A 12,068-nucleotide genomic window follows, 5' to 3' on the forward strand; every position below is an offset into this window, starting at 1 on the left:
CACTATATGAGCAACCTTGAAAAGATAATCCAGAATAATGGGTTGCCATTGCCTAACTCAAAAGACATGCAGAAATAAGAGAGACTTGTGTAGCATGGTTTCCTGACACATGAATAATTCTCAAATTATGATTGACTTTACACAATGTTTTTGATTCACAGCTAAGTCCAAAAGAGGTGTCCTTGATTGACAAACAAATTCTTCCAAGTTGTGAATCAGGGGCTTAGGTTTCTTCCATCTTGTGACTGCCTTCTTTAAAATGCTGCCTCTATGGCTTTAATGCTTATTTTTGTTATCCATGTAAAAGGAATCAGTGTGGATACTAGAAATTTGGGGCTATTAAGGACCAGGCCTAGAGGTGACACACATCATTTTCATTCAGACTACGTTGATTGGAACCCAGTGCACTGGCTGCATGTAACTGCAAAGGATGCTGGGAAATGTCTAGTTACCTGCCAAATAAAAAGAAATGAGTTTGGCGAATAGGCTGTCTCTACCTCATTTTAGCCCATTCTTGTTAATTTGTATGTAATTACAGAGAATGACAGAAGACAGAGCATTTAAAAAATGAAAGTTAAAAAACAAAATCCCACTCCATATCTCCCATTGAGAAATAGCCATCACTTACTACTAAGTAAATATCACAGATTTTTTCTATGCATAGAGACATAGATACATACATAAAAAGGATAATTAGAGAAAAATTATTAAATTGAGTGAAACCTACTGATGTTTTAAACACCAAAGGCAGATTTATTTGGCTGTATAGATGGAAAAGAAAGAGACCCTGTCTGTATAGAAGAACAACAGCAACAAAACATAGCTGAATGTGTGGTGCGTGCCTATAGTCACAGCTACTCCGGAGGCTGAGGTGGGAGGATGCCTTGAGCCTGGAGTTTGAGGCTGCAGTGAGCTATGATCATACCACTGCACTCCAGCCTGGGTGGCAGAATGAGACCAAAAAAACTTTTTTCCCCCCTTACCACAAGAAATATTATTTCCTCAAAGATACCTTTAAGTTTAATAATAGAAATTACAAAAGCAAACAAGACGTTGAAGAGGTAAGACTGTCTTTCTAGTTGGGGTGCTTTTAGCTCTAAGTGATGGAATACTCAAATCAGAGTGGCTGAAGCAATTGGAAATTTATTACTTCATGTAAGATCAGATGCTAGGCTTTTCTAAGATTGGTTAATTTAACAGTAGCCAATTCAGCTGTGGCAGAGCATTGTTGACTTTCATGTGATTTTTTTGGCTTTTGCAGTCATGGTTGCCAGGACACTGCAGTTGTTCTGAGGATCATGGTCTAACACTTGAGCATCTAAAGGCAGGAAGGGAATACCTCTTAAGAATGAGGAGAACAGCTAGAAAATTTCAATTTCTGGCCTGGTGCAGTGGCTCACGCCTGTAATCCCAGCACTTTGGGAGGCCGAGGCGGGCAGATCACTTGAGGCCAGGAGTTCGAGACCAGCCTAGCCAACACGGTGAAACCCAGTCTCTATGAAAAATAACAAAAAATTAGCCAGACGTGGTGGCGGACGCCTGTAATCCCAGCTACACTGGAGGCTGAGGCAGAAGAATGGCTTGAACCCGGAGGCAGAGGTTGCAGTGAGCTGAAATCGTGCCATTGCACTCCAGCCTGGGCAACAAGAGCGAAACTCCGTTTAAAAAACAAAAATACGAAGAAGTAGCCGGGCGCGGTGGCTCATGCCTCTAATCCCAGCACTTTGGGAGGCTGAGGCGGGCAGATTACCTGTGGTCAGGAGTTTAAGACCAGCCTGGCCAACATGGTGAAACCCCGTCTCTACTAAAAATACAAAAATTAGCTGGGTGTGGTGGCACATGCCGGTAATCCCAGGTACTCGGGAGGATGAGGCAGGAGAATTGCTTGAGCCGGGGAGACGGAGGTTGCAGTGAGCCAAGATTGAGCCACTGCACTCCAGCCTGGCCAACAGAGCAAGACTCTGTCTCAAAAAAAAAAAAAAAAGAAAAGAAAAATTTAACTTCTATTTTATTATCCTGATTGAAACCTATTCCAGGCCTAAAGCAGTCAGTGGCTAAAGAGAATCAATTTCTCTTAATTACCTTGGACTCATCCATGTTCACCTCTGGGCTGGGGAATAGATACACTTTTATGAGGACATGAGAAGGTGATCATGAATTTTCTTAAGAAATCAGGACTTTGTCAGCAAGAAAGATGTTTATGTCTAGTCACTATTTGGCAGACTTATGTTTTGTTTTAATTACATGTGTCAGATTTTATATTGAGCTCCTACAGTGAAGGCTGCTAGTATCCCTATAGTCATTTTGCTTTTCCTGCTATCCAGGTTGTTTTTATTTTTATGTATTTATTTTTTATTTTTTTGAGACAGAGTCTCACTCTGTCACCCAGGCTGGAGTGCAGTGGTGCAATCTCGGCTCACTGCAACCTCTGCCTCTCCAGTTCAAGCGATTCTCCTGCCTCAGCCTCTCATGTAGCTGGGACTACTGGCACATGCCACCATGCCCAGCTAATTTCAGTATTTTTAGTAGAGATGGGATTTTACCATGTTGGCCAGGCTGGTCTCGAACTCCTGACCTCAAGTAATCTGCCCACCTCGGCCTTCCAAAGTACTGGGGTTACAGGTGTGAGCCACCGCGCCCTGACAGGGTTGTTTGTTTTTGAAGACATTTCTATTTTTTCAGGTAGTGACATTCTCTTATGTAAACATAATCCTCATAGTTGTGTAGGCATTTGTTTTGTATTTAAATTCGTTAGCTGCTCACTATTAGTCTTTTTACCACAGCTATTCCAGTAAGTTCATTGTTCCTCTTAAATTGGCTGAATTTTATTCACTTTTTTCAATAATAAGTTCTTAGGACTTGTGTTCTCTGATTTCTTTCATAATGGAGAACATTTCCTTTTGCCTTAATTTTTGAACTGTATCTTGGCTGTATATAATATTGTTGGGTCACACTTTATTTCTTCTAAAAACTTAATGGTCCTGGAATATTGCTGTGGAGATGACTAACGACACCTCCCTCTCCCTGTATTCTGCTAAGTTTAACTACAGTAAGTCTTGGTGCTACACAGTCTGTAACAGAATTGTTCAGAATTTTTTTTTTCCATTTTCATTTTGTGGAATTTTATGTTTGAATATACCTTCTGTTCCCCATTCATTGAATTCTCTGCTTCAGGGATACACGTTATCTTATGTTTGATTATCTCTGTTTTTTATACCTGTCAGATGTGGTCTGCCTGCTTTAGTATCTTTTTTAAAATTTGCATTACTGTGATTATTTCAAGCCTTTCTTTTAACACTTTAACAATTCTTGGCAATGTGTATTTTCCTTGCTGTTTCTATTTTGTTTACTAATTCTGTAATGATACCGTTTTAGTCTTAACCTTATTACTTTGGTTATCTCCCTTCTTACCTTTTCCTATTTTATCATCTCATTCTTGAGCTTTGTTTGAACTCATGTTATATTTTTTATTTGGCATGGGGACAGTTTTGAGAAATATTTTCATACTCAGTTATGTATGCTTCTAGGTTGTGATATTTGGCTATCTCATGCACATTAGACTCTGTATTATTTTTTGCCTGTAGTTTCTTTGCCATACAGTTTTTAAAATGTTGTTTATGCTTGGGAGGCTCACTTTTGACACTTATTCCATTATAATTTACGTAATTTTTTGAATATTTTCTCGTTTTTGAGACGATGGTTTAAGGGCTATGTATTTTGCATTTTTCTGAAGCCTGTGGGAATGAGGGGTGCAGTATAGAAGCTTGGGAGGAGGGGCGCAGTATAAGAGCTTGGCTTAGGGCAGTATGCACTTTTTGGTAGAACTCCAGGCTGGGCTCTCCTTTTTAACACAGTGCATTATTAAATGTCTTGCACCAGGTTCTATATATCTCAAGTGTTTGGGTGTATTTTAGTCTTATGGGGAATACCCTAGGATTCTATTTTATTTTTTATTTTAATTGTAATTTTTTGAGACACGGTCTCACTCTGTCCCCCAAGCTGGAGTGCAGTGGCATGATCATGGCTCACTGCAGCCTCCACCTCTTGGGTCCTCCGCCTCAACCTCCCAGTAGCTAAGACTACAAATTTGCACCACCACACCCAACTCATTTTTTTGCTTTTTGTGGAGATGGGTTGTCATTGTGTTGCCCAGGCTGATGTCCAACTCCTGGCCTCAAGTGATTCTCTCACCTAGGCCTCCCAAAGCACTAGAATTACAGGGGAGAGCCACTGCACCGGGCCCCCTAGGATTTTATGTAGTTAGTTCTTAGCCTTGATTCTTTACTTCCAGTTAGCACCTCTTCACTTTTCTTCCTCTCGCCTTCAGTTTTTCCTGTTTCTTCCCTGAAGCTAGTACTACTCTTTAGGCAGAAAAAGTAGTTTAGTAGGTAGGAACATATAAAATCACCTCTCTTCAGATTTGGGACTTTCGGTTATATTCTCAGAATTTTTGGGAATTAAGGGGTAGGATTAAGAGCTGAATCCTGTAGCTCAGTCTAGGGCAATTTCTACTATAGAATCTAGTTTACTCCTTGACAGTTTTTGTTTAATGCATGAATATCTGCCCCTGCTTCCCATTTTGGTTGCTTTTGGGGATCATTTGGTTGGTTGTTTTTTAACTGGTTTCTGTTCATTTGTTTTCTACATTGGGAAAATCTGTGATGTGATTTCAGCTTTCTCTTAAGCATTTTAAGATCCATGTTTACTTAAAATTTGTTTGCTTTATATTTGTAATGATATTTTGTGTTATTTGAATATAGGCACTCTTACTAGAAATTTGTTCTATTTCAGTGTAAAGAATTGAGTCATATTAAAATAACTCACATGTTCTTTTTCTTTCTTATGTTATGCCTAAATATTAATTTCTAGTATTGGGCTTTCTGATGAACTTGTCTTGATGATTAGTGATAATGAAATTCTTTCTTATATGTTAGCAAATCTTTTTAATAATTTACTCTAGAGTTTTCCTGAGAGGTAACTTCAAGCTCAGTATTGCATTCTTTGTAAAATTCACTTTCTGATTTGTCCCAGACATTTCTGTCTATGGTTCACAGATTACATACGTACTCTTCAAAACTCTGAATTCCTCTTGGCCTTAAGATATGAACTTACAAGTATTATCTTCACTGCTCCTTTAAATAGTCCTATACCTGTTCTAGTTTGAAAACTGAAACATTGGACCTGTCTCTTGGTTGTTTGTCTTGCACTAAACTTAAGTTAAAAACTCCTGCATAGGCTGGGTGTGGTGGCTCACACCTGTAATCCCAGCACTTTGGGAGGCCGAGGCAGGCAGATCACTTGAGGCCCGGAGTTCGAGACCAGCCTGGCCAACATGATGAAATCCCGTCTCTACTAAAAATACAAAAGTTAGCCAGACATGGTGGTACACACCTGTAATCCCAGCTACGTGGATGGCTGTAGGCATGATAATTGCTTGAACCTGGGAGGCGGAGGTTGCAGGGAGTTGAGATCACACCACCGCACTACAGCCTGGCAACAGAGTGAGACTGTATCCCAAAAAAGAAAACAAAAACAAAAAAACCCCTCTCCTGTATAACTGTCTTTAGCTTCTTTACGGGGAAAGCAGTTCATTCTGGAACTAAACCCAGTTTAACATTTAGGTTCATTACAGAGAGCAAATGATGCTGCATTGATTTCCTTGAAACTATTTGGTAATGTTATTATTATAAACGTTTCTCTCCCTTTTGTTTCTGTCCTTTCTTTCTTTTTTTCCCCTTGCTCTTGATTTTCATCATGGGTGCCTTACCTACTTTCTTTAAATTTTGAAAACTTTTTTTTTTTAGGTTTTGGTTATGTTTTTTTGGGGGGGTAGATAAGAGTCTACCTTGTGCTTGTTTAAGCCATACCTTTCTGTAAAAAAAATAAACAGAATTTTTCTCACACGGCTATTTTAAGGATTGAGATATCATGTGTATTCATAAAATATAAACTTTTACAGTTCTGATTTTGTATTGCTAATTATACATACTGATTCAACTGAGAGTGACGTTGGCTGTCTTGACCTAACAAGCAGTGAAGATAATACTTGTAAGTTCATATCTTCAGGCCAAGGGGAATTCACAGTTCTGAAGAGTACATATGTAATCTGTGAACTACACACAAAGCTCATCTGTTAACAGTTTTCCGAAATCTCTGACTATTCCCTTTTTTTTTTTTTTTTTTCTGAGACGGAGTCTCGCTCTGTCGCCCAGGCTGGAGTGCAGTGGCGTGATCTGGGCTCACTGCAAGCTCCGCCTCTCGAGTTGATGCCATTCTTTTGCCTCAGCCTCCTGAGTAGCTGGGACTACAGGCGCCCGCCACCACGCCCGACTAATCTTTTGTATTTTTAGTAGAGAACGGGGTTTCACCGTCTTAGCCAGGATGGTCTCGATCTCCCGACCTCGTGATCCGCCCACCTCGGCCTCCCAAAGTGCTGGGATTACAGGCATGAGCCGCTGCACCTGGCCATCTGTGACTTATTTTAATGGCCATTATATGCTTGCATAATGATTTTTTTTCAAGCACACCTCTGTTGTTGAACAAGTTGTTTACATTTTTCTCCCCATTGCAAATAGAAGTATGATAAACTGTATTTAAATCTTTGTACACCTTGTTAGATGTGAAATTACTAGGTCACATGGTATGAGTATTTTTATAGTTTCTAACTCTTGTTTTAAAAATTGTCAGCTTGGCTCAGTAGTGTGTGCCAATAGTCCCAGATATTTGGGAGGCTAAGGCAGAAGGATCCTTTGAGCCCAGGACTTCAAGGCCAGCCTGGGGAAAATAGCAAGACCCAGTCTCTTTAAGAACAAAAATAAGTGTTCTTTATATGTTTACATTTTCTCTAGTAATGTATGCAAGTGCTCATTTCCCTAGGCAGTTATTAGATCTTGTCATTAAAAACAAAACCCAACAACTTTGGTCACTATATAGGAGAAAAATACTACCTTTAGTTGTTTTAATACTTGGGTTGCATGTTTCTGTTGCTGTTTACTGGCTCTTTTTTTTTGCGGGGGGCGGGGGGATTGCCCAGTCATGTCCAATGGCATATGTATTTTCTTATTTATTAAAAAATTTAAACAGAATTAAAATACAGAATTTTTAATTTTACCGTCTTCCCAGTTTGGTTTTTGTTTTTTAATGATTTGTTTTTTAATTTGCATAGCTAAGTCTGTGTTTTCCCTTTCTGTTTTTTTTATTTTTTGGGGGGGAGGTTAGAAAAGTCTTTCCTTCCTTAAAGTCAGATACTTTAAAAATACTTTCTAGCTGACTTTGATGTTATTTTAATTTTTACTTAACCCTTTAACCCATCTGGATTTTGTTTTATTTTGTCTAAGATATTTTCCCCTAAATTATTAACCAGTTCTAGTACCATTATTAAGTAATTTTAGTCTTTGCCTTCTGATTTGGAACCTCCTCTTTATCATATACTAAATTTTCATATATAATTGACTCTTTTCCTGGGTTTTCCCTTTCTTAATCTGTTTAAATCAACATATGTTTTTAGTGACAGTCATTAGACTTCTTTGATTCACATTTGATAGGCTGTTCATATGGATATAAGCCATGCACAGTGTGTTCCAGTGAACACTTGTAATGCTCATTGCAGGATACATTTCTTGATGTATCACAGAGGACCAGAGTTCTTTATTGTTCCATGATTTGCTTTGTATGATTTTTTTACATCTCTATATTGTATGTTTTCACACATGTACATGTGTATTTTTTGCCTTTTACTCTCATTTGTTTTGCAAGTTGTTAGGGTTTGTTTGTTTACTTTTTTGTTATTCAGGATCATTCACCATTAAATTATCTCAGCTCTTATAACCTTGAAGAACAAAGCCCAGAATGGGAAGTAGAATATATAGAGTAAAGGAGGATAGAAAGGCTTCTTAATTATCTTTGTAGGGAGAAAAACATTGATATAACACTTAAAGACCAGGATCATTTCAACTTCATAGACTAGAGTGTATAAATTTGTTATTTTGGTGTGTGTAGTTGCCCATTTTCATACTGCTATGAAGAAATACACGAGACTGGGTAATTTTATAGAAAAAGAGGTTTAATGGTCTCACAGTTGCACATGGCTGGGGAGGCCTCACAATTATGGCAGAAGGCGAAGGAGGAGTAAAGGCAAGTCTTACGTGGCGGCAGGCAGGAGACAATGTGCAGGGGAACTGCCCTTTATAAAACCATCAGCTCTCATGAGATTTATTCACTATCATGAGAACAGCACAGGAAAAACCCACCCCTATGATTCAATTACCTCCTACCAGGTCCCTCCCATGACACGTGGGGATTGTGGGATCCACAATTCAAGATGAGATTTGGGTGAAGACACAGCCAAACCATATCAATGTATTAACTTACAAAAATCCTAATATTGTTATTTTAGTTTTTTTAAATAAATGAGGTCTCACTCTGTCACCCAGGTTGGAGTGCAGTGGTATGATCACAGTTCACTGCAGCCTCAACCTTCCAGGCTCAAGCAATCCTCCCGCCTTGGCCCTCTTAGTAGCTGGGACCACAGGTTTACACCACCACACTTGGCTAATTTTTTATTTTTTTTGTAGAGATGGGGTCTCCCTATGTTTCACAGGCTGGCCTTGAACTCCTTGGCTTAAGTGATCCTCCTGCCTTGGCTTCCCAAAGTGCCGGGATTACAGGTGTGAGCCAGTGTGCCTGGCCTGTATTGTTATTTTGTTTGTGCTTTCTTTAGCTCCCATGACCCAATCGTGTATTCTAGTCTGGTTTCAGTTACACTGTTGCTTTAAACCACTCCACGACTTTTAGTGGCTTATTAAGCGGTGGGCTCAGCAGGGATGATTTATCTTTCTTCCATGTGGTATCTGTCGGGTTTACTCATGAGGATTCATTAAGCTGGTGGCTAGCTGGGTGTTCAGTGTTGGTCTTATTCACATGTCTGGCGCCAGGCGCTGCTGGCTATAGGCTAGAGTACCTCAGTTCACCCTGTGATGTCATTCTCCATTTGGCCTCTCTATGAGTAGAGTGTGGAATGATTCTTTACATGGTGGCTGATAACTGAGGTGGCAGAGGTGGAAGCCATGAAGACTTCTTAAACCTCCAGGTTCTTGAGCTTATACACCATCACTTCTGCCACATCCTGTTGAGTAACACAAGTCATAAGGTTAACCCAGGTTCAAGGGAGTGGAGAAGAGGATGTCTTAGGATGAGAAGAGCAGTGATAACCCGTTGCAGAGAATATGGCATGATTCTTTGGGGAGTCATTATCTGCCACAATCAAAATAACTTTAGGATAAAAATGTTTCCTAAAAAGTCTGAATTAGAAGCATCATTGGGTGGGAAGATAGCCGAGAACACTCTGGGCAACATAGTGAGACCCCTGTCTCTACAAAAAGTAAAATAAAAAATTAGCCTGTAGCCAGGCCTGGTGGCACATGCCTGTAGTCCCAGCTACTCGGGAGGCTGAGGCTGCAGTGAGCCAAAATCACACCACTGCACTCTCAAAAATAAAAAAAATACATATAAAAAAAAGCCTTGTGTGGTGGCATGTGCCTATAGTCCTGACTACTTGGGAGGCTGAGGTGAGAGGATTGCTGGAGCCTAGGAGGTTGAGGCTGTAGTGAGCTGTGATCGTACCACTGCACTCCAGCCTGAGTGACACAGCGAGGCCCTGTTTCAAAAAGAAAAGAAAAGAGTATTATTATATTAATTTACATTTACTGTTGCTGAAGTACTGACAGTGCAGCCTGAAAATATCTTACGTACTTAGATCAGGAATTAAAAGCAGAAAAAATGGCAGTATTTTGGGGGTATTAAAGTAAAACATCTGTCTTTAATTTGTATGCATTGTGTTCTGCTTGTATGTAAACCTTTTTAGGATGACAGAGATACCAATCTTTCATGGCTTGAAAAGATTAAGGGCCCTCAATGGTCTGATTTAAGCTTCATGAGAAATAAACAAATTCGATGAACTCTTTAAATAGTAAATTTCACACCCAATACTGTTTCATAATGTAGTGATTCAAACAACAGAACATTTTGGTTAAAATTATCTGACATTAAGTTGGACTTCCAATATGTAATTAATTTTTTATTTTATTGAATTCCTTTTTATATTTAGCTCATCAGTTTTAGCACTTTATAGCACACCCTAACTTTATCTAAATTTTTTTGTTAGAGATAACTAATTCATCTATTTTTTTGAGTAAACCCAGGAAATAATTTTTTGCTGGAGTTTCTGTGCCTCTAGTTTCTGGAGAAATTCTCATGCATGGTAGAGGAAAATCTGGTACTGTTCAGATGTGAAGTGCTATGTAAACTTTAAAGTACTATTTTAAAATGTTCACAAAAGTATTTGGTGGTTGTGTTGTTTTGTTTTGTTTTGTTTTGTTTTGTTTTGTTTTGTTTTGTTTTGTTGAGACGGAGTCTCACACTGTTGCCCAGGCTCGGGTGCAGTGGAACGATCTTGGCTCACCACAACCTCCGCCTCCTGGGTTCAAGCGATTCTCCTGCCTCAGCATCCTGAGTAGCTGGGATTACAGGTGCACACCACCATGCCCGGCTAATTTTTGTATTTTTAGTAGAGATGGGGTTTCACCGTGTTGGTCAGGCTGATCCTAAACTCCTGGCCTCGTGATCCGCCCGCTTCAGCTTCCCAAAGTGCTGGGATTACAGGTGTGAGCCACCATGCCTGGCCGTATTTGGTGTTTTTAAGGAGAAAAAGTGTATATTTTGCTGAATGTAAATGTAGCAAATAATTACAGACTTCAGTTGTTTATTAGTATTATTTTAGGCTTATCAAGAATAAAAAAGCTGAACTTACCTAAAAAGAAACTCACACTAGTATTACTTGTTTATAAAACAACACAATGATCAGAGGAAGTGATTTTTGACAGAAGTATTTGTTAATGTTTTAAATTACTAGTTATAAAAAAATCTCTGTTGCATATATGGGGTTATAGTTAAATTAAAATTGGATTTTACTTATATTCGTTTTTAGAAATATAAAGAGAAGGACAAACACAAACAGAAACACAAGAAGCAGCCAGAACCATCACCTGCATTGGTTCCATCCTTGACTGTTACTACAGAAAAAGTAAGTTTTAAGTATCATATTTTGTTTTATGTAATAAGTAGTTATTGTGCTGATTTTCACCTCTAAAAACTGTTTTCATTCCCTAACTTTTCCCAGCTTTTCAACCACATATCAGGCACTTAGAATTCTCATTTCTTTTTTTTTTTTTTTTTTTTTTTTTTTGAGATGGAGTCTCGCTCTGTCACCCAGGCTGGAGTGCTGTGGCACAATCTCAGCTCACTGCAACCTCCACTTACCTGGTTCAAGTGATTCTTCTGCCTCAGACTCCCGAGTAGCTGGGACTACAGGCGCGTGCCACTGTGCCTGGCCAATTTTTTGTATCTTTAGTAGAGACGGGGTTTCACTGTGTTAGCCAGGATGGTCTCGATCTCCTGACCTTGTGATCCGCCCACCTCAGCCTCCCAAAGTGCTGGGATTACAGGCAAGAGCCACCACTCCTGGCCTGAATTCTCATTTCTTACCTTATTCTACCTTCTGTTTATTCTGTGCTTGTCTCCAAAGCCTGTTGTTAAGTAAGGATAACAAGTGGGAACCATCATTGAGACAGAGAATTTTGGCTGTGGGTGGACTTCATTCATCTGAGATTTTGAATTCTGGCCTTGCCACTTACTGATTGAGTGTTTAGGTTAATTAACCTTGGTTAACTCAATTATATCATTTGTAAAGTGGGGGAAATTATTAATGAAATGGAATGACAGAATATGTGTAAAGCAATTAGAACAGTATTTGGTTCATAGTGAGAATTAGTAAATATTAAGTAGTATTAGGATTATTATCTTGTGGTTAATATGAAAACAGAGGGAGACTGGGACAGAATAAATAAGTTGGGAAGTGCAGTAGGAGATGAGTCTAGGGTGAGGGACCCATTATGCAAAGCTGTATAAACCAGTGTAAGGACTTTGTGTTTAGTTTGATCGAAAAGTGAGCTACTGGAGGTTTCTGAATTGAGATGTAACGTGGTCTGACTTAGGTTTTGAAAGGACCTCTG

The 12,068-nt window shown here is 39.2% G+C and overlaps 1 protein-coding gene across 4 annotated transcripts in view; it reads left to right on the forward strand.

Annotated features, from left to right (window-relative positions):
* Positions 1-12,068, forward strand: part of MLLT10 (MLLT10 histone lysine methyltransferase DOT1L cofactor) — a 209,875-nt gene that overhangs the window by 106,933 nt on the left and 90,874 nt on the right. For all 4 annotated transcript variants that reach the window (NR_136736.2, NM_001324297.2, NM_004641.4 and 1 more), the window contains one exon: positions 10,985-11,080. Coding sequence is in view for 2 of the 4 variants with exons in the window: in NM_004641.4 (NP_004632.1) it covers positions 10,985-11,080 (96 nt within the window). In the remaining 2 variants the exon portion in view is untranslated. The remainder of the gene's footprint in view (positions 1-10,984; positions 11,081-12,068) is intronic.

Source organism: Homo sapiens, chromosome 10, assembly GCF_000001405.40.
Source record: "Homo sapiens chromosome 10, GRCh38.p14 Primary Assembly".
Classification (NCBI taxonomy): domain Eukaryota; kingdom Metazoa; phylum Chordata; class Mammalia; order Primates; family Hominidae; genus Homo; species Homo sapiens.